Here is a 22,894-nt window from a genome sequence, read left to right on the forward strand (position 1 = left end):
ATAAAGTTGTATTGCAACATAGTCATCCCCATTCATTTACATACTGAATATGGCTGCTTTTCTGCTATAACAGCTGAGTAGCTGCCACTGAGATAGTGTGGTCCACAAAGCCTAAAATATTTACTCTCTGGCCCTTTACAGAAAAAGATTGCTACCTCTTTTCTCAAAAACAGAGGGAAGGCAGCTTGTGGCTGAATCATAACTAAAGTAGAAAAGAGGAGAAAGGAAGCCAGTAGAAAAAGAATCAAATTAAAGTTGAATGTGCACCTGGGGAGCCTGAGGTCATAAAACCCAAGGAGGAGTTAGTTGGTAAAGCCATTTGTGAACACTACCAAAGAACTACTCTTCAGATTCTTAAATGAAGATATGTATTTTTCCAGGGACAAGGAACTACTTGCCAAGGAGTATGTAAAACCTAGGACTGAATAAACATAGAACATCTTCCTGAAATGTGATTTTGCTCCAAGGTTTTCGGAGGGAATGTCAAAGGATAGGGGAATAATTTTGCATTTAAAAATAGGCATTTTATTGAGTAGAATGCAATATTCACGTGAATTATTTTAAAATCAGGATTAAAATGAGGCTGCTTCAGGTTATAATTCCAGAGTTATGAATTTGTTCTTCTCTGCCTGTAAGGGTATTAGCGGAAATGTTTGAAAAATAAGTCATGGAGTGCTCCAAAGAGGGTGTCTGGGTGAAGTCACTCTCTAGGGCATTAAGTTGAACCCGGAAAGCAAAAAGTTGTAACTCCCCTGTCAATTCCAATATATTGGTAATGTTTTCTTGGAACACTTTTGTTGGGAAGGATTCTGAATCTACATGTCTTGCTCAGAGGTAGAGAGACAGTGAGTAACAATGTCTGCTAGAGCAGGAGAAAATGGCACATGGCAGTTTGCTGTAATGATTCATCAGAGATGAATATGGAAATCCATCAAAATCTTTATTCATCACACATTTTTCAGCTTCTTCAACCTCTCAGTCAAGGGAATGCTAGAAGGTAGTGGTGCTACCCATGTAAATGAACCTAGAAAGAGAAACTGTATGTAGAAAAAACATTTGCTTTTTGAATGTTCAATATTTCACTTTAGGTTTGGGCCTAAAATAAAGATCCATTTTGTTTTAATAAGAAGTAAAACAAGAATTGGAGATTTCAAGATTTAATGTTTATCACCTACATTTTTATCAGAAACCAACACATGCTAATATCATCTACTTTTAAAGCCATGTCTGCCCTTGCATTTCTGTCTTTGTGATTCAAGGGGTATCAACTAATACAGTGAGCATGTCCAAGTTTACCATCAAGGAACCCTTGAAGATTTTACCACAGTCTTCCACCCCATTCAGTCTTTTGTTGATCTCTGTAAGATACATGGGTGAAGATGACATTAAAAGGGCACTGAAGAATTGCAAAATTTTATTCTATAGGGAATGGGAAAGTATTTTTTTAAAAAGCAGTAAAAAATTGTTAATAGAAAAATAAGTGATAGAAATACAAAGGAATAATTGGAGTGAGTGAAGGTGGGGGCAAGAATGATGTCTAGGAAGAGTGGAACAGTCCAGAAAAAGAGACAAAGAGGACCAGCCTTGGGCAAAGAAAGTAAAGGGGTACGGAGAAAATCAAGAGATATTTCCAAGGTAAACTCATTAGTAACTGACTAGATGTAGGGAACAAAGGAAGTAAATGACGAATACAAGAGCCTTTAATCAACTAGGTAAATAATTAACTGTCCAATAGGAAAAGCAGGAAGGGGAACAGTTGAAGGCAGTTATCAGTGATTATGCCGATCATTTGGTTGCTCTTAGATCTACCCGCTGCCCTTCCCTCAGGCTCTTCTGAACCACAGAAAACTGTGTTACCCAGACTCCCTTGCCTACTGGCTTCTGGGCAGCTTTGGGCAATAGCGGGCACTGGTGGAAGACTGGAGGTTGGGAGATAGGGAGAAGCCAGGCTATTTCCTCCTCTATGAATTTGCCTCAAGCAGCATTTCTCACAGCAACAAGATCATCTACAATATTTCAGCTCCTACCAAACAAGCTTTCTGTCCTCAGTTCCAGCTCCTTCTGTGGTTATAGCTCTAGCCTCAGCTATGGTTCTAAGTCTAGCTGGGCACCTGTGGCTTCTAGATTTTGGAAACTCCACCTCTTCTTGTAATTCCTCTTGCATTAGGGGTAAAATAGTGCCTCCTGCTGTTGCTAATCTCTGGGTCATCTTGGCAACATATTTTGGCTTCGTGTCTCCTTTATCACCTGTATAACCAATTTCTGGTGTTAAATTCCCCATTTGAAACACCCCGACTAGTTTATTTCCTTGATTGCACCCGTACTGATTGATAGAGGAAAGAATTCAGTTTTGTGTGTATCTGTGTGTGTATGCTGCTTATATCAGGGAGAGTCAGAAATCAAGCAGATGTAAATGTTTTAGCAAATAATGCCCAGGCACCAAGCAATAGATTAGATTGATACTTTTCATAAATGTTCTATTTTGTTAATAAGGAGAAATCAATATTTTTTAAAAGAATCTAAATAGCCATTGAAAGATGTAATAGGTGACCAACTTGTATAGTACTTAGTATATAGAATGCCGTGGTGACCATACTTTACACATTTTACCTAATTATATCCTTAAAGTACAACCCTGTATATATTTCCCTGTATATATTTTCATTTGGTCCTTAAAACACAGCCCCTAGAGGCAGATGATAATGTGATCCCCATTTCACAGATAAGGAAACTGAGAGTGGAGGGATTAAGTAATTTTCACAGGCCACTCTCAGTCTGGATTAGAACTCGGGCACTTGGACTCTAGTTTACAGTTATCTAGTTTATCTATAAACTAGTTAGTTAGTGTTCTAGATGTAGTTACCAATATAGGTTTTTAAAGATTTGCCTGTCTTTTTTAAAGGGCTGTTATTTTGGGGGTAGAACAAAGTACTGAGTTATTTCTAAATGTATCTCTAAAGTAAAAAAGAAATCTCCACAAAAAATAATTTTGAAGTTTTTAATGCACAAAAAAGAACATCCCAGGAACAACAGGTATTGACTTATTAACGATGAAGCACTATATAAGGAGACCCCCTCCCCACTTAGTAAATGGGAAAATAGTGTAAATAGACATGAAAGGAGGTAACACTTCAGGATTAAATGTAAACCCTAAAGTTGTATACAACATTCATATGTGGCTTATTATCTCATAGCAATATTTTCATAACGATGTATATGATATTTATCCTTATTGGTAAGATGCTTTTGAATCAAAAGTTAAAAACACTGAAGAGGTAGTTTTGCCAATGCAAGGTGAAAAAAAAAAGGCTTTACCTTGCTTTGTTTCAAAATCCACAACCATTATTTTTCTGTTCTAATTTTCTCCTGGATCAGCCAGGAAGATAATCATGCTTTGTGAAAAAGCCAATTCACAACCTTCTAAAAACTGGTTCCCCTAAAAGGACAATGATGTGTTTGAAACAACTGCTCTGAAAGTCACCTGGGAAGTTTCCATAGTGTTCCTCTCCATCTTGGATCTGAAACAGATTCTGGCTCAACAGAAACCTGTTAAGATCTGACTGGCAGTCACAGAAATTCATCCTTTTATCTCCTAAAATTCTATGCCCAGGCTCATGGTAGTAGCTTCTTCAGTGACCCAAGAACATTGGTAGGTGCCTTGTCATTTAAAGCCAGGGATTGCTTTAAATTTGGGGGAAAAAAATTGCAGTCAGAAATAATGTTTGTTTGGACAATTCTGTAGCTGGCCTGTGAAACTGGCTACAAGTGACTGGATATAGTCCCTCATGTTTTCAGTTGTGTTTCATCAAAGTCATCACATCTTAGACTCAAAGGCAGTTTGGGCTTCTGATTGCCAGATGCCGCCTGCTGCTTTATCTATATGTGTGGGACATGTGGAGTGGAGAAGGTCTACCCAATATGCAAACTCTTTGACACTGGTCATTTGACTCTATATACAAAAACTAGTTTATCCTACCCTTACAATGAGAAATAAGCCCACAATGAGGGGAAAAAAAAAAAGTTTCAAGAGGCAACAAAACAAGTGTCAATTCCCCAAACTAGAAAAGTCATTTATCAGACAATGGGTTAGGAACCACTAGAAACAAAGTGGCATCATATTAATCAGGTATGACTTGTTACCCACAAGAAAGCATAAATATACAGTAAATAAGAGCTTTATATGTAGCTCCTGCAGTATATGTACATATTAGGGCTGCAGTGAAACTGAGCAGGAATTTCCAGAGCATATCCTCAGCTAAAAGCAGTTTCATCGCACAACAGTGTGAAGGTAACATGCTGAGAATACCATGTGGTAACACTAAGCAGATATCCACACAAACATATCCTTGAAAATGCACAATGTGAGAAATAAAGGTCACGAGTGAGTAGCGCATTGCCTGCCAAGCATCTTCTTTCACATAAATAGGCACAAGTCCGTCCTCCAGCGGTGTTCTGCAGCCTCACACCTCTAGCATGTCCATGGTGCCGGGGACGGATTCTCTCAGCACACACTGAGCCAAGTCACGGGCTGTGCACTTACTCCTGCCTTCACAGTCTCCAGATTCAAATCAAAGCATAAATAACACAGGGGCCATGCTGGTGGTGCTTCCTTTCACCATGTTACTGGGAACAGATACTGGGCAGAGCAGCACAAAGGCTGCACACCAGTGTGCAGGAGTGGAGAGTAGCTTTGTGCACATTTGCAAAAACAAAAACCCCTAAAAATCTACCGGATCTCTTGTTTTATTGGTTAGCTCTGTCTGTAGCTAGGAAGACGCTGTGTTGCTCCTGGGCCCTTTCTATCAGCTTCCTTTTCTTTTTCTTGTTCCTCTTCTCCTTCGCCTTTGGTGTTCTCTTCCCTGCAATGAAGGAAAGAAAAGAAGAGATGTCAGAAATGGCTCTTTCTCTAGGAAAGAAAACACAAAAATATTGGGAGTTTTGCACAAAGCCCATCTGGAAAACATCACCTATGGAAAAAGCCTCAAAGAGAAAATTGTTCACATTAATTTTGACAGAATAATAATAATTTACTAAATTAGATATGCTGTCTAAAACAGAGACTGATTTTCCTGTTACAGGGAACTGGCATATTGAAAAACCTCCCAGTGGCCTGATCCGTCTTTCAAATATCATCCTGCCACAAAAATTCCATTTATTCCCTCCTACTTCTAACAATGCTACCCTTTTCTACACATCTTTACATCTTACTACTGCTCCACGTGTCAGTGGGTCAAAAGAAAATAAGCATCTATCTATAGCAAACATACCAGAAGTTTCAAACTCCTCTCTCCCTTTCCCCATGGGGGAAAAAGAGTCTTGCTTTTAACATTATTTCCTCCATATTCCAAATACCAATGTATAAAATGACATATGTGCAATCCTTTATTTTCTATAAAAATTCATGGAGACATCATTCATTATATACCTTATGGCTTCTTATCCAAATCCCCTGGACAAGTTGTTGTTATTAATGGAGAGCAAGAAGAATGCTTATTTGTTTTGATAAACTGGTGGTATGTGTCTAACTACCAGACGATCATACCAAGTATTTCTCTTCTTTGCCTTAGCCACTAGGAAGCCCAGGCTACAAGCTAACTAGTTGAGGTTTTCCTCCAGCAGGAATTTTTTAAATGCTGTTTTTTTCTTTGCCTCTGCTATATTTTACTTCCTCCATCTGTGGTTATAGTTTTACAGTCTTACTTTATAAGGTCTCAACCTTTGTACACATAAGATTTTGAGAAAAAAGAATAAAGAACATGAGACATCTGTCTTAGGTCCATCACCTCTTTGAGTTCTAAACACACAGAAATCAGAGGATTTTTAGAACAGAAAAGGGCTTTAAAGGTCTCCTGCATTTTACAGAAAGTAAGTCACCCCTACACACCTTCAGTACAGGAAGACTTTTGTCTCAATGAACAAGAAAGAATCCTGTTGGCTGTTCTTCCTCTCTTACTTTCCCTACTTCAAATTTTATCTTGTAATTCTATAAAGCTTAACTTTTCTCTTCCTGTAAGGTGTAGCTATTTGACAGCACAGTAATCAGTACTACGAATAGGGAACAGGACATTCAGTTTTGTGCTCTTCATCCTTCCCATACCTGTAAAATTACATAACCCAGACCCTTTCATTCCAGGCATATAGCAGGCCAATTTTTCAATCTAGCCTATGGAGAAGGAGGCTGATGTCAAAAATGAAAAGGAAACAGACCAGAGTCTAGGGAGATACATGAATTAGGAAACCAGAGTCATACAAGGTTAAGGAAGGCCATGAGATTTCTAAATAAGGTAGATGTTTCTTATTTCTGTTCTTTCTGATCAGAAAGGATCTGTTTTAAGGATGGAAAACAGGCTTACTCTTCAAGACCCTAGCACAGTGACTGGCACTTAGTCGATAGTCAATAAACATTTGCTGAGCAAATGTTTTTACATCTTTTTATCACAAGAAAAAAAGATTTAAAAGAATAACTTATGTTTAATAGGACATTGCATTAAAACAATGAGAACATGATCATGCCCCCATATTAAATTATAAAGGTCCTTAAAGCTAACTTCTGGTTCTCATTAAATTCTGGCATTAATGTTATAATGGCAGTTTGCCATCTTGAAACGTAGTTAATCCTACCCCATGAAACCTTAGTTCAAGCCATCATTAATCAAAGCAGCTGTAAAGTTACAACTATTTAGTAACATTATCTCTAATGATGAGACACACCAAAGGAGGGCAGAAAAATGAAATATTTAATACAAAATATAGCATATTTTAAAAGCTTCAATTATAAAGTGTTATGAAGAAGTTTTTGTTCTGTATTTTCTCTAAACAACAAAATCCTTAGTTTAAAAAATCATTACTGACTACATTTTAAATTCATTTGGTTTATGTTTAATTGATATAAAGCCTGGAGTTTCTTTTAAAAGCAAATTGAAATTAAGTGAATGGAAAAATAAAGCTTATCTTACTAGATTTTAATACTGAATATATGTTAAAGAATATATGTTAAAGAAAGCTTTTCACATTCACAAGAAAGCTTCGTGTAAATTATGTAGTTGTGAGTTAAATATGTACTACTTTCACTAACAGCAAATCCATGCAAAATGATGGGAAAAGCTCATTTTAAGATGGTCAATTTCGTTTCATTTACCCAATATATTATTCTGAAGTAATTGTCAATATTAAATGGTTTTGGGTTTACTGGCTGATATGATATTGTGTCATAGGGAAGTTACTCAATACTTGCATAAAACAGTTGGTAATCCTGGCCAAAAATTCAGCAATGCTTCTGAAAGCTTATTTATGTAAAATAATTTTTTAACTTGTACAATTACTCTGTTGGCAATAAGCTATATGGTACCAATTCCAACAAGCAATGTTTGGGGGCCCTAATTACAACCCTAAAGATTTCCCTCAGAAGTCTCTCTTGAATGACACCTCTTTGCTATTGTTTGGTTGGTTGGTTTTGCTTTTGGCCAGTCCCTTTTCTCACATAAGACATATTGCAAATACCGAGGAATTAAGATGGTTAGCCAAGATTTGACCACAGACAGGCCTAAATTAACTGAAAATATTTTGTGGTCCATACTACGTTGTTCTGACTTCAAGCCCAGCTCAAAGTAGCAAAAGTAGTAAAAGAATACTAAAATACAACGTAACATACAGAAAGGGTCTTTCATACAAATGCTTTTTTCACGTTCTAAGATTTTCAAACATGAGAAAAGAAATCGGTAAGATTAAAGCTAACAAAAAAATCCTCGTTTTATCTATATATTTGAAAATAAGTTATAATAGACATACAAACGTGCTAATTTCTGTTTCTGCTTAATTTCTTTACCTCTGTGGATGCGGGATTAGACTTGGAGAATGACTTCTAGACTTCAATTGCTGCACATTCCCAAGCACATATATGCTATACGGGAAGTATTTAAAGGCAAATATGATGGCAGTCACCCAACGCATAATTCAAGTCATGAATTTAACTTTACTTTTTAGTTCACAAGAGAAGACTTGGAATAGATACTGCCCAGGATCATTAGAAAAAAAAAAAAAGAAGTTTGAGTTTTACGAGGGGATTGTCAACATCCAACATATCCAATTCTAGTGACAAATTTTGCATATCTTTATCCCTAGTGTCTTGAGAATGCAGTGGCCTTGACACATCATAACTAAGGGAATCTCTTCAAAATCAGGTAGAATCAGGTCTACAGGGCAGATCTTTTCAGCACTGTTATGCAGATGCAAGGAGATGACTGGTCCCAATTATTACCGTTTTTAAGGAAGGCAATGCAATGTGGTTTAGAGAAAGGCTACTTCTGGGAATAAGAAAACCTGGTAGGCTAGGCACAGTCTTGTAACTGAGATGTCTGGTAAGGCATATGCCTGACTCTTAGTCTCTATGTTTATAGAATGAAAATACTACAGTCATCATTCACTAGAAAGTTATGAGACACTGTGAAAAAGTTGTGGCCCTAGGATGAAAGGAAGATGTGTAGAATATCACTGGCAAGACAAGATTATCCTCAAAATGAACAAAATTAGAAAGATACTATCAAAGCCACATTCTAACTAATGTAATTACATTGACTTGCTCACATGTGGAAATGGTCCAAGAGCATAACCTATCAACTCTTCTGCAGAGAAATATGAACAATTCCTTATGGAAATACTGCTACCATCCAGCTGTGAATTGCTGCTATTAGAATCAGAAACAGGGTAGATTATTTTGAACCAAGATATAGGCAGACTCACAAATTACATGAAGCGGTGCAAATGCCAGCTCCACTGCCAGTCAGACAGTGATTTCATTCTTTCATAAACTCTCAAAGTCAAAGGTCTTCAAATGCTCTCTTTCCTCTCACTGGGTATAGGTAAGAATCTTTCCATCACTGGAAAAATGTTTCTTGTACATCCCTCAGAGTAAGGCACCGAGGCTGTCTAGAGTTTCCATAATGCTGTGTGTTTTAAGAAAGGCTTTTAATGGAAGAAAACTAAAGAAAAATTTCAGTAGCTTTGACTATAAAAGAGATTAAAGCTTCTCTCTATATATATATGTATACGTAATACATGGACATACCTACATACATATATAAACACACAAGCTGTGGAAAGTAAGCCACAATTATGACAAATATAATTAACTGGAATTTACTGTTGTAGCCACAACTGCGACAAAACTAGGACTGAGTTTTACTGATTTTTAAGTTTGTAATGCTCTAACTTGAAACCTGGGCTTCACTGAATTATAAAATTCATCATGGAGATTTCGAAATCACCTCAGAGAGATTCAGTCATTCTTCAAAGCCACTAAAACTTAGGGACAAGAAACCTGTGTAACCACCAACCTGGCAGATATTGTCATATTTCAGAGAACACTCTGGAAGCAGAACATGAAATGCTCCTTTTACATCTAAAGTCAGAAGGACTGAGTTGTAAATGATGAGTAGTACTGTACCATTTTTTTTTTCCCATATGGGCAACTTGATTTTGCCCAAGAATGAGTAGCAAGAGGTATTTATTTAAGACTAGTGATTGTCTAGAAAACACCAACTGGTTTCTAAAATATTTTTTAAAGTTCATTTAAAAATAGACGAGACCTAAACAATTCATAAAGGAAATAAAAATAGCTAATAAATATATTTAAATAATCAAATCTCACAATTAAAACCTCCAAATAAGATGAGATGCCACTACAAAGATCCTTAAAAGTAAAAATATCTAACACTTGTAAGAATGTCATGAGACAGGCAACAGGATGCATTGAGAATATAAAATTGATACAGCCTTTCTGAAAAGCCATCTGCCAATGTGTAGAAAAGTAATAAAAAATATTCTTAACTTTTGACTCAGATCTAGGACTCTATCCCTCAGAACATAATCTAAACTTGGACAAAGATTCATGCACAGGGATCTTTAATACTGAAAAAATTGTAATGTACTTAAATGTCCTGACTACACTTTTCATGACCTCTTCTTTTTGTGATTACTGAGGGAATAAAGTTTGTTTTCCCTTTATGAATGCAAGTATTTTATATTTTATATTTTATATTTTTATTTTAGAAATAGCATTTTATATTTTTATATTTTATATTTTAAGTAATAACAATTAACTTTATATCCAGGAATACTACTGTTGGATATCACTAAAACTTATCATAAATGGATCTAAGAAAAAGCCTGTAATACAAAAGCATTCCTACTATGATGGAAATGATAGTAAGCAGATTCTTTTGCAGAGTCATCACTTGTAATTAGATCTGAAATATAAAAGCTTAAAAACTATTGGCCTAAACACTTCAGACATTAAGAATGGAGGTTTGTTAGTTCTTGAAGCTTTTTTCCTTCTAGAAAGCAGTTCAAGTGGGCAAATATGATGAGCAGGACTGGGATCTACCACACTATGTCCTATGTAGCCTAAGATAAAAATCTTCCTACTGTCCATATAGTTCAGAATAACACATTTATTTTAGTTGACAAATAAAAATTGTAGTGTATAACATGATATTGTGATGTATGTATATAATGTGATATGGTTAATCAAGCTAATAATCAAGCGAATTAACACATCCATCACCTAATATGCTTTTTTCTTGTGTGAGAACATTTTAAATCTACTCTTTGCAATTTTCAAATATAAGAGTTATATAAGTAAAATGCACAACCAATACATATATATTTAACACATATACATTTTACTTATGTATTAAAATGTAAATTTAAAAATTTATTAAAAATAAATTTACATTTTACTTATTCACATAATGTAAATGGGCATATTTTAATTATTTTTATTTTACTTATTTACATAATGTAAAATGTAAATAAAATAAGAGTTACTTATTTACACTGGCTGTGGAGTCAGAAGTGAGGGTAAGGTGGAAAGAGTAAAGGAAATGAATCAATTGTGGCTCTTTACTGACAGCACAAAGTGTTGTCAGTTCCTTTTAAGGCATTTTCAGTAACAATCATTTGGTTTTCTAGAAATGCACCTCTTCTTTTCACTAAAAAGATTTTACAGATAGCTGTGTTTTGAAAGGACTGGCAACATCTAATCCTTCAATAATGGTTTGCTATCATTTTCCTTAAGAAAAAATAATCTAGAGACAAAGCAATAAACATTAAAGTGTTGAAAATAATAACAAGCCACCTGCTGAGAGTTTACTTGAATGTCAAGTAGTAACTTAGAAGATTTTTCAAAGGGTCACTTAGTCATTTCATCGTCATAAAAGAGCATGTGCTTTTAAAATCTACACATGATCTACAGATAACTTACAAGAGTTGTTCTTCTTGCAGGGACTATTGATAGAGGGTGACAACTGTCCAAAATAAATAACGGACAAAATTTACTTCTCTCAACATACAAATGTGACAATCATTCAGAATATCAGGATTCAGACTACTTACTACCTGCACAGGTTTACACTAATTTGTAAAAGCTATTTCAATCAGCCAGTTTAAATGGGAAGCCTCTGACTGTTACTATTCTTTCATCTGTAAAAAGTTACCATATTTTTTTATCTAAAATAGTATGAAATTATGAAATGGCTTCTTTAAGACTTCAATTTTTCTCATAGAAGACATTTTATTAGGAGTCAGATCTGTTACCCACTTTGTTGACAGGAAGTCCTATTTGGTTTTAAAATTTTATTTCATGTTCAAAATGATGGAAATGGAAAAAAAGCTAACCCTGAAGATCACCTGAACCTTTACAAATGAACTGTATTCAGAAAAGCTAACCCTGAAGAAGATCACCTGAACCTTTATAAATGAACTGTATTTACCAGTACGGTTTCCTGCACACGGTATTTCAAAAATTCTCAGAAATTCCTCATTTTACAGCTCTGAAGAAAATCTGTTCTTCGAGTGTATGACATGGCTTTTAAAGGGGCAGTAAGAATATTCCATAACCTTTTTCAGCTTTCTTGAAGCAATAAGGACTACAACAAGGTAATCTGAATGAGATTTGGGCTTGTTTCTTAAATCCGTAGTCCGTCAAAGAGAAACACAAAACAGTTTGAAGACAGGATTCTGTGGTGTTTCACATAGGTAAGCACAAACAAGAAGAGATAGTTTTAAAACTATCTAAAATTATTTTCATAAATACTTTAGGTTAATTGTAAAGGACAAAGTTTTCAGAGCAGTAGAAACAGTAAAATACGACTCTACTATTTGTGTGAAAAAATAAATGCACAATTCTACCACAAGGGGGCAATAATTCACTTTTACAGTAAGAGTACTGGTTAAGAGATGGTTTTTTAAAACAATGTACAGGGCAACTTTGGGGCTCTAATTTCTTAAATACTTTTTGTTGAACCCCCATTGGAGGCTTTTTATTTCTTTCTAACCATAGGTAGTCTCTTTAGTGGACTAAAGATTAACAAGACCCAAGTACTGCACAAGGTAAAAATATAATTGCACTGCTGTTAAAAAGATATTTGGGCTAATGAGAGAAGAAAAGAAAATTAAGAAGGAAAATCTGCTATTCAAATACTGATTTAGAGAAAAAGCATTATTCACAAATTCTTGTTGTCACTTTCTTATGGGAAAGTTAAACTACCTGCAAATAACAGGTTCTTATCTTGGATTCCTTATTTATAAGAATAGAGATGTAAAACTGCAAATGATCTTCACTAACTTCTGGTGCAGAAAGTCACATAGATTTGACATCAAGGGTGAAAGCTGTTTGGTGGTGATTCCTGACAAGTTGGCCTTCCAGCACCACAATGAGTTGGCTGCACTGGTGAGGGTGGAAAGACAGCAAATATACTAGGCAATTTGCTAGGCCCTGCTGTAGTCCACTTCTGCAAGGTGGTTTAGATATGAAGCAACTGAAGCACAGAAGATCTAGAGTGACCCCTACCCATGCTTCTACAGCTAATTAGAAGGGGAAACCTGTGCTCTGAGCCTAGTTCAGTTATTCTCTCATATACTTTCCCAGTTGTTTTTTTTTTTTTTTTTTTTTGAGATGGAGTCTCGCTCTGTCGCCCAGGCTGGAGTGCAGTGGCATGATCTTGGTTCACTGCAACCTCCGCTTCCTGGCTTCAAGCGATTCTCCTGCCTCAGCCTCCTGAGTAGCTGGGATTACAGGCACATGCCACCATGCCTGGATACTTTTTGTATTTTTAGTAGAGACAGGTTTTCACCATGTTGGTCAGGCTGGTCTCAAACTCCTGACCTCGTGATCCTCCTGCTGGGATTACAGTACAGGCATGAACCACCATGCCCGGCCACTTTCCCAGCTTTAAAGGTCAATAAATACGGATAGTCATTTTTCAAGTTATTGAGTCATTTTGCAAGGAAGGCAAAGAAGCACTGAAGACAATATTACCCTGACTGAGTTCCACAAAAAAAGTCATTGACCTCATCCTAACTCTGAAACCCTGTATGAACTGGTAAATTCTGCATAAATAACAACTTCTCTGTAACTTAGATTTTCTGTAAATTTATACTGCATTGATTCACTGCTTATTCTTTTTCTTACATTTTAGCAAGATGCAGGCTATAAAGTTTCCTAAGTAAGGTGAGATGGTGAACACTCCTACTTTGTACCAGGCCCTATAAGTGCTTTATATCCATTTTCATTTAATTGAATGTTTTGGGGGAAAAGGTAAGGACTCAAACTGTGCTGCCAGGATGTTGTACAGGTGCCTGCCCTAAATTAACTCAAAATAAATGCAGATAAATATCAAGCTCATTTGGCACTCCTAAATTAAGTCAGAAAAACCATCAGGTTTGCAGAGAAAATGATTCAGCTGTTTTCATTTGATTAGGAGGTATGGGATAACCAGAAAAGAATTAAGTTCCTCCATAGCTGACTTCATACTATAACGGAAGGTACCTTTTAAAATAATTCCATTAGAACAAGAAGATGTAATACCTTCCTCTTGGTCTTAAATCAATAACCATTAACTAAATGAAAAACAAAAAGTAGTAGCCCAAGAAATGACATTTAAGACCATTGTCATATGGCAGCATTTACTTAATTTGGATTCAACACAATTTCTATGGAACTTGACACACAAGTGAAAAGAAAGTAATGGTTTATACATGGCAGCTATATAAGATAATGAGACTGGGCATGGTACATGCCTGTAGTCCCAACTACTCAGAAGCCTAAGGCAGGAGGATTGCTTGAGTCCAGGATTTTGAGGCTGCAGTGAGCTATGATCATGCCACCATACTCCAGCCTGGGTGACAAAGCAATACCCTGTCTCTTAAAGAAAAGGGTATAGGTTATTGGTCCAAGCCAACAGTTCAGTTAAGTGGCAGGTCTTACATGAACACAGTTAACACAAGATAATATGAGGGGATGTATGCTCCACAAAGAATCATAAATACATTCCCCACTCTGTGCCCTGCAGCACTTTGAACCTCCCTCATTGTAATATTTACCACCTCCTATTGCAGTTTTGTTTGGCTGTATATCATGGTTACTAGTTTGTAAATAATTAAAAACAGGTTGGGCATGGGGGCTCATACCTGTAATCCCAGCACTTTGGGAGGCTGAGGTGAGAGGATCACTTGAGGCCAGGAGTTCAAGACCAGCCTGGACAACATAGGGAGATCCCATCTCTATTTTTAAAAAATTTTAAAATAGCTACAATGTAATGTGCCATAGCATCCTGGTTAGAGTCTTCCCAAAAATCAAGTTACAGATATTCAATTACACTCATGTCAACTGAGAGTTGGAGCAAAGATATAAGGGCTACATCTAAACACTGAAAGTGGTCAGGAACCAAAGCCATACTTTGTCATCTACTGTTAAATGAACTCTCCTGTTCTTCCTAGGCTCCCCCACGGCTTCTGGCCTCAACTTCAGCTTTGTACATGGTCTATGTAGGCTACACTCTATCCCTGATAAACCCTGTGACTTTTTGGCTTACCTCCCTCTTATAATAGCCTCTGTCCTCTTTTGTCTCAATTGCATATTCTCTAGAGAGGAATTCAACATGCCTCAGTCGCCACAGAGCCATGGATGCCTGAACAGCTCTTGGATGGATCACTCCCAGGCCTAACCTGGAGAAGTAGCAGGGTACAACATGATACTAGCCTTGGCAGGCATCTAGAATACAAGGTTAAGAACATGAGTCTGGGGCGTCAGACAGCCCTAGATTCAAAGCAGAGTTATGCCACTTAGAAACTAGAGATCTTGGACTAGACACTTTTTCTAAACCTTAGTTTTCTCAATTCTAAACTGGTAGTAACAATGATGCCTGCTTCAGCATCTGTATAAGGAAGGAGAATATGTATAAAATTTCACATATTATACCTGGCACACAAACACTAAATAAACGATAGCGCTATATAAGGTGCCCTACTTGTATTATTTCTAATCCTTACAGCAACTCGCAAAGCAAGCATTATTTCTATTTTGCCGATGAGGAAATAGGTTTCGAGAAGTTAAGTAAATAGCACAAAATCACATAGCTCAGCAGTGATTCAAACCAACATCTGGCAGATTCTAAAACCTGTACTTTTTCCACTATAGTCTTCGGATCCCTTATGCCCAGCAAAATGCCTTTGATCTCGTAATCATTTAAATGGCTGCTGAACAAACAAATTAATAAGTAAATACTAGGCTGGAGAAGGGCATCAGCCTTCCTGCTCAATCCCACACAATATCAGGGTTCCCTTGGGTCCCATTAGATCCCTGATGGGCCTGGCCTACAACCCATATTCCTCAAATCAGTTATTCCCTGGGGTTAAGACATTCAAAGCCTCAGTTTCCCAGGGTCAAGCAACACATTTAGCAGCTCCAACTCAGTATCAACAGTGTGCTTATGGCAAAACTCAAGGAAAAAAACAAAAAATACAGGATGCTTATTTTTCAGCTGAGTCAGAAAAAGTTTAAACCTGTGGTTCCAAAAGCCAGCTCACAGGCCAGAAGTAAAACAATCCTCCAGGGAACTTAAAAAAGATTCCCTAGCCATGCACCAACTCCTGAAAGCCAAGAATATTTTGTAAGCTTCATAGATGACTTAGTGCGAAGTTAACTGCATGCAATTCTAGAGCATAAAGTACTGCTGAAAGGGTGTGCAAACCTCTTTCTGCCTGGACTCCCTTCCCTGGGATCTATTTGTAGGCAATCCCCCAAGAAGCAAGCAAGCAGAAATTAAGCTTCCAGTGTGGGGAGGCACACCCATGGGTACACACCCAGGGGTAGGGCCCTTATCTTTATGTTCTGGCCAAGGTGGAGCAGGTCACTTGTGCTATAGCAGATTCATCTCTCCTGTGGACATATTCCAGAAACTGGAGTTACTCTACAGAATATCTCTATTCATGAACAGGTTCTTTTTAAAAGGCTGTCTAGTTCATTTGCAAAAATTCTAAAGAGACTAAGAAAATTGCAGTTGAAAATAAATCAAATTGATAATCAAGTTTGGGGCTTCTGCCTAACTAAGGGATGCAGAGTTGGCACTTCAAAAACTAAAAAGATGAGAAAAGTACCTCTCAGTCCAGGTGACACAAATACCAGTGGTATCAAGATATTTGCTGGATTACAGAAAAAAGGCAAGAAATATTTTTCTTTTAGATGCTGAGTTTCTTCCAAATTATTAAAATCAAATAAATGTAAGTAGTGTGCCAAGTACCAAGTGCTGAGCATAACTCATTTCATATTTAAAATATCCCTATGAAATACTTTATTCCTTTTTTATTTTGTAAAGTTTTCTTATTGATACATAAGAGCTGCACATATTTTCATGGTACATGTGATAATTTAACATTCATATAATCAAAGAAAGGTAATTGGGATAAATATTTAAGGTGAAGATATCCCAAATTTTCAGAAGAATCTGAGGATCAGAGAGGTAAAGTAAACCTAAGATGCCACAGGCAGTAAGTAGTAGAGTTGGGATTTGAACTTATGTAGTCTGGTCCCAAAGCTTACCCTCTTGTCCATTATAAGACTTACATAAATATAATCCTGAGTGGGAGGAGAGGAAGGAAATGGCCAATGTTACTCTCTTCCCTTCTGTCATAAATTCCTGCAAACCCCATGAACTGGTCATTCCTTTAAGTGGCTGAATCTTTAAATTCATAAAATGAAGCCTGGGGCCATTATTGGTTTGATACAAGACGAGGATAACCAATGGTATATTTTGTTATTCCTACAGGACAAAGAAAGTAACAAACATTTGCCAAAATAGTCTCTATCCACAAGACCAGACAAATATTTTGGTCACTTCAGAATCTTTGTCAACTACCCAAGTAGAGGCAATGGATTTCAATTAGGGGAAAAATATTTGAGAAGGAACTCTAACATGTTTGGCATACCTCACGATTATTAGAGACAGCACATTTCCAAGGTTGTAAGAAATCTACAGCCTTGCTGGATTATCTTGATACTAAATATCTTTGTCTATAACTACCAAATATTAAAACACGAGAACATAGTTAATTATATTTTACAAACAGCCTCATATTTAATGAAATGAGTTCATGTCTCCTCAACTGAAAATGGCATTCTACTCTCCAGAAAAAGTATAGAGACTGTTAAACATACAATATAAACTAAAATCAAAGGAAGCTACTACATGTATACACACACATATAAATGCAACAAGTATCTGTAATAAGTTTTCCAAGTATTGCTTATTGTCATGCTTCTATCAGTATGTTCTTGTCAGTTTTACTTAACTCAGGCGTTAAAGCATGAGAAACCAACAGTTTAAAAATAGCATTTAGAAATTTTAAATGTAATGAAAATTATTTAAAATGAATCACCAGTGAATCAGAGGTATCCAAGAAGAGATTCACAGTCCAAACTACCATAATTTTAGTAAAAGACATTACCTGGAGATTGACATATAAAGAGTATCAGTGACTTATGATGAATACAAAACAAACCTTCCATGATCTTAGCAGGGCAGGTTCAAGGACCTGTACTGAAACTTGAGCTAAATTGGTGAGTGCCTTTGAGTTGAAGTCTATGCCAGTAACAGTGAACAGGAACAGTAAACATAAGATGGCCACTGAATATTTACTGTGCTCAAATACTGCATTCTGTTTGGCTTTTGATGATTTAAGGCAGCAGATCCAAATAAGAGTTCCAAAAAATGAAAATAATCATAGGTACTTTGAGAAGACTACAGAGAATGCATTGTCAAGAAATTTAAAAAGATGTCAATGCTCACAGAATAGGTAAAAAAAAAAAAATACCTTTTAACATTTCTATTATAAAAATAGAAGTGTTTTCTACTGTTTACTATGTAACTAATCAAAAACAGAATTGCAACTACAAAGCTATAACATAGTTATAATAATGTCTTTATGTATTAGAAAAGCTAGACACTGAGTTATTGAGAACAGATGTAAAAAAACCTTCCTCCTTTAGAATTTTCAAAAATTAGTTACCTATTTTCATTACAGTAGCTTAGAAATCAGAAGGAATTAATGAATTAAGACACTTCTGGAAATTCCTTCCAATCAGTTTGATTCTAATACAAAACAGACAAAATTTGTGGGTAATAAATTGTAAAGAAGATCAATATGTAAGTGTATTTTAGGTGCCTTTATGTGTTTTCCTAATCTTCCTGTAGAAAAAAAATTAAATTCCAGTAATACAATGCCCAGGGCTCATCATCTAAATGTTTTATTAATAGCCAGATTGGTTCTAACATATATCTTTCTTTGAAAGACAACTGCAGCTGTTTTAATGACCATTGAATCTTAAATTCGGGGTCACTGATAGTTTCAGTGCAATGAAGTAGGCCACCTGAAAAATTATGGAGACTATGCACAATTTCCCCAAGATGTGTATGTTTTTGTGTCTTCATATGTGCATGTGTAATCTAAAATATACTTTTCCATAGAACACATCTGGGCATATTGGTGAGAAGACAGTTTACTTCTACATAAATGTGTGTTTTTAGGATTATGACTAACAAATTACAAATATCCTTAAATGTAAAACCAAAAAATCTGGATATTTAAAAATTATTGGAGACATCCCATAACTGTAGCCATATTAAAGGGAATCTGTAGCTCTATTTTGGGGTGTCTGGGTTGGTGAGTATCCTAGGGTCTGCCAACACCTTCTTCCTTCTCCCGACTGGTTCTGTAGCACCGTGGTGGGGTGTCTGTCTTGGTTTGGCTTCTGGGAGGTCTCAGTTGACTCTCCCTGACTAGTAGAAAGAATCTTGGTTTGGGAGACTTCTCAAACAGGAAGATTTCAGGGAGATTTCTCAGATGGAGAATAGAAGGATAGTTTGGAAGGTATACTCTTGGAGTTCTTGGTTAGGGATCTGATTTGGAAGGCCTTCTATCCTTCTCGTCTTTGTGTGTGTGTGTGTGTATATGTGGAGTGGATCTCAGAAGGAACTGCTGAAAGTCCAGCAGGTCTAACTCAGAGAACCCTCCTTATTTGTCTGGTCACATTCGGTGAGCCCTGAAGAGAGTTCAACAGGCCTGTCTTGGGACGACTATCCACTCTTCGCAGGTGACTAGTGTCTGTTTTGTTATGTGTATTTTGCTAGGATGAAAAATGTTAATTTGGTTCCCCTGCGGCCTATTGGGAAACATCTTGCAAAACGGAGAATCTTTTGCCTGTGGTTCCATAAAACAGAAAAGGGTGGGTTTGTCTTTGGGGATCTGGCTTTGCCCTACAGCTGTGTCTACTTATTAGGCCCTAGAAACTGCATGCTTTCCTGGCCCTGTTCTCCAAGAGCTTCACCCTGAAGCCAGGAATCCAACTAAGAAACTGGCAAATGAAAAACTGTACAACTACTATATCTTCTGTCTATTTATATGTGTTGTATATGTGATGTTTATATATAAAAGAGCTCTGATTAATTGGCTTAGAAAAATAAGTTCTTAAATCAAGTATTTTGTCAGAGAAACAAACTTTAATGACTTTTTCTTCATGTGACTTCAAAATGTAGACATTTGGTCTAAATTAAGGTCATATATCACATTTGCTAAATGCTTTGTCATAAACTGCCTCTGACATTTAAAAAATTGTTCAATATACCTACTTTGGAGCACTAGATTCTAGATGAGGCCTGAGGACATGTGGAGTTAGCCATGCCCCACCTAGTTACTATGCTGGGAAAAGTCAGACCTTATTTGCCTGATGGCCTAGACTCCACACCTAGTACATAATTAAAATCACTTACTTGTCAGGTTTTCACCGAAAATAAAGGTTGCTAACAGTTAACATTGTAACATGTAATTGAGACTACTGGAGAAACAGTTTTACATACAAAGTGCATAAGAAAAGAGGAATAAGTTTTTGGTAAAAGATTATAAGAAGGCATGGGAATATGGCTTTTGTTAAAGGAAATGTAATTTTTTCTAGTTCAGACAAACAGAGTAACAGAGTAATGGGACAAAACTGAAGACTTAAGCAAGAGAAAAGGGTTGGTCTTGTAAAGAAAGTTCTGTGGGTATGAGCAAGTTGGCTAAGATTTGAAGGGAATTATTTAATTGTTTTTCCATAGGTTAAATATTAAAATAAAAGCACACTAATGAGGGGCCAGAATCTCAGTCCATGTGCCCAAATAACATGGTTTTCTTAGAAAATTAATCTGTTGTGTAACAGAAAATTGTAAAGCATCCTAAAAAGTTTATGAAAATGTTACCTTATGGTCAAACGAATTAAAACTGGATAGATTTGTAAAATTTTATTTAAAAACTAGCTTTAGCATTAAAGATGCACTAATGCAAAAATGCCATTTTGTTTTCTCTTTTGAAATATTTTTATGCAATATTAAAACGTAATGAAAGGTTTTTGTTTGTTTGCCCTTTTGGGTAAATAACAAGGGGAAAGAAAGAGGAGAGAGAAGGGACAGATTCCACTGGCCTCATGCTATCTTCATTGGGTCTTGTTTGAAAAGCCAAGTTTCTTCTATCAGAGTAAAGGTTTTTGCCTTTAAAATTTTTTTGAGGCCAGGCAGGTGGCTCATGCCTGTAATCCCAGCACTTAGGGAGGCCAAGGCAGGCGGATCAGCTGAGGTCAGGAGTTTGAGACCAGGTTGGCCAACATGGTGAAACCCCATCTCTACTAAAAATACAAAAATTAGCCGAGCATGGTGGTGGGTGCCTGTAATCCCAGCTACTTGGGAGGCTGAGGCAGGTGAATCACTTGAACCCAGGAGGTGGAGGCTGCAGTAAGCCAAGATCACACCATTGCACTCCAGCCAAAAAAATAAAATAAAATTGAGTTACTATTTCAGATAAATGAATAATCTGTGATCCTATTTTGTGATATCCAGTGTTTTAAACCTTTGATATTTGACAAACTTTCCAAAATCAAATTATTAAGTATGTCATTTTCTGGCCTAACTAATCCTTTAGACATGAGGTCCCCTGAAGTCTCAAATCATGTGTTTGGCTTATTTGGTATGAAAGTCATACAGGAAGCATTGTCAAATATGAAATGGTGTTTGGCTTTCTTTGGACTATATTTGTATAAATACGTTACTGGTGTATGTTCCAAAATTATGTGGAACTCCCATAATTCTGATGACTTAGTGTATGTCATTAATAGTTATAATTGTTATGTAAAATTGTATGCCACAGAAGTAACCAAAATTCCTAGTCAATTGTGGCTTTAATAATGGCTGTTTTGTCCTCCACAGACAATTGTTGTCTTGTTTTGTTCCTCTTCAAAAGGTGGTTTAGAATCAGCTATAGGACTTTTTATGGGTGCTATTGAATGCACGTTTCTAATAACTTTAGAGAATGTGACGTTAGAATAGAGAAAAAGACTTTTGGGACTCTCATGGAAAGCTGAAATCTTCATAAATATCAAGCATAACAGGAGTTAATTGAATGGACTGAACTAATAGACAAGTAATCTTTTTTAAAAACTTTTTTGCTTAAAACGTTGTTGATCCTTTTTGTTTTCCAGGGCCAAGAAAATGTCTTCCGAGCTATGTACAGCATTTTTAACAATTGAGTAAAATATACTCCTATGAACAAAATTTTGAGCATATTTATTTTTCTCTACCTGATTCTTCCAGAATTTGGAAACTATTTGTGAGTATTCTCAATTTATGGCGGTGTAGTTGTTTGCATAAGTGTAATAAAAATCTGTTTTCTTTGTAATGGGACACCATTGGAGAAACTGGTTATTTTACCAAGGCTTTGACTGGAATGATATGCCTTCTTTAAAGAATCAAAGTTGACTCAGAGTCACTAAGACCCTCTTGAGAAATCTGGCCTCATATCTTGTCTGTACAGTCCCTGTACAAGGTTCCTGACCTGTGGTAACTAAAGAATATCACTTTCTAACAGACCCACGAGCCCCAAGTGATCTTAGGACCTCCAGAGGAGAAGAATTTACCCAGCTCCTAAGTATTCGAGGATACAAACCCATGGCTAGCCTCAGCTTTTAAAAAGTCTTATCTGAGATTCCTTATGGAACAGAGTCCCATCAAAGCCAATTTTAAAAGCCTATGTGAAAAAATAATTATTCTCGCTGCACTTTATGCACATAATCAGGCCAAGTACAATAAGACTATAGTTTATTTTTTAAACAAATCAGTTCTATCATGATTTGTTTTTAATAGAAAATGGGGACTGGAGAGAGAAAAAAATATACTTCAAAAGAAAAACTATAGTATATCTGTTGTTAGCTGTTCTTGAATTTTTTCTGCAGTTTGGAGTAAATCCTAAATTCTTTGTGGGCTACAAGTCCCAAAACTAATGTTTTCAAATATTTACTTTTAAAACTGGGAATTGCACTTCTTACCCTAGTCGGTATTAAAACTATAGATAACAATACTAACACCTTTGCCATATAAGCCTTGGAACCCCAGCCAGGCCTGCATGGGTATGCTCAGACAGTTGCAAAGCAGTTTCACTCCTCTTACCTTGGGGTCAACACCTACCCCCACTATTCCCCTGATCAGCACGAAGAAGTTAGAGCAGTTGTCACCCTTTTTCCACCTTCTTTAGCCAACAT

General features: G+C 36.4%; 1 protein-coding gene across 3 annotated transcripts in view; it reads right to left on the reverse strand.

The window, feature by feature from the left end:
* Positions 2,985–22,894, reverse strand: part of RSPO2 (R-spondin 2) — a 184,305-nt gene continuing 164,395 nt past the window's right edge. For all 3 annotated transcript variants that reach the window (NM_178565.5, NM_001282863.2, NM_001317942.2), the window contains one exon: positions 2,985–4,859. In NM_178565.5, coding sequence (NP_848660.3) covers positions 4,744–4,859 — 116 coding nt within the window. In that variant the 3' untranslated portion in view covers positions 2,985–4,743. The remainder of the gene's footprint in view (positions 4,860–22,894) is intronic.

Source organism: Homo sapiens, chromosome 8 (genome assembly GCF_000001405.40).
Source record: "Homo sapiens chromosome 8, GRCh38.p14 Primary Assembly".
In the NCBI taxonomy this organism is placed as follows: Eukaryota; Metazoa; Chordata; class Mammalia; order Primates; family Hominidae; genus Homo; species Homo sapiens.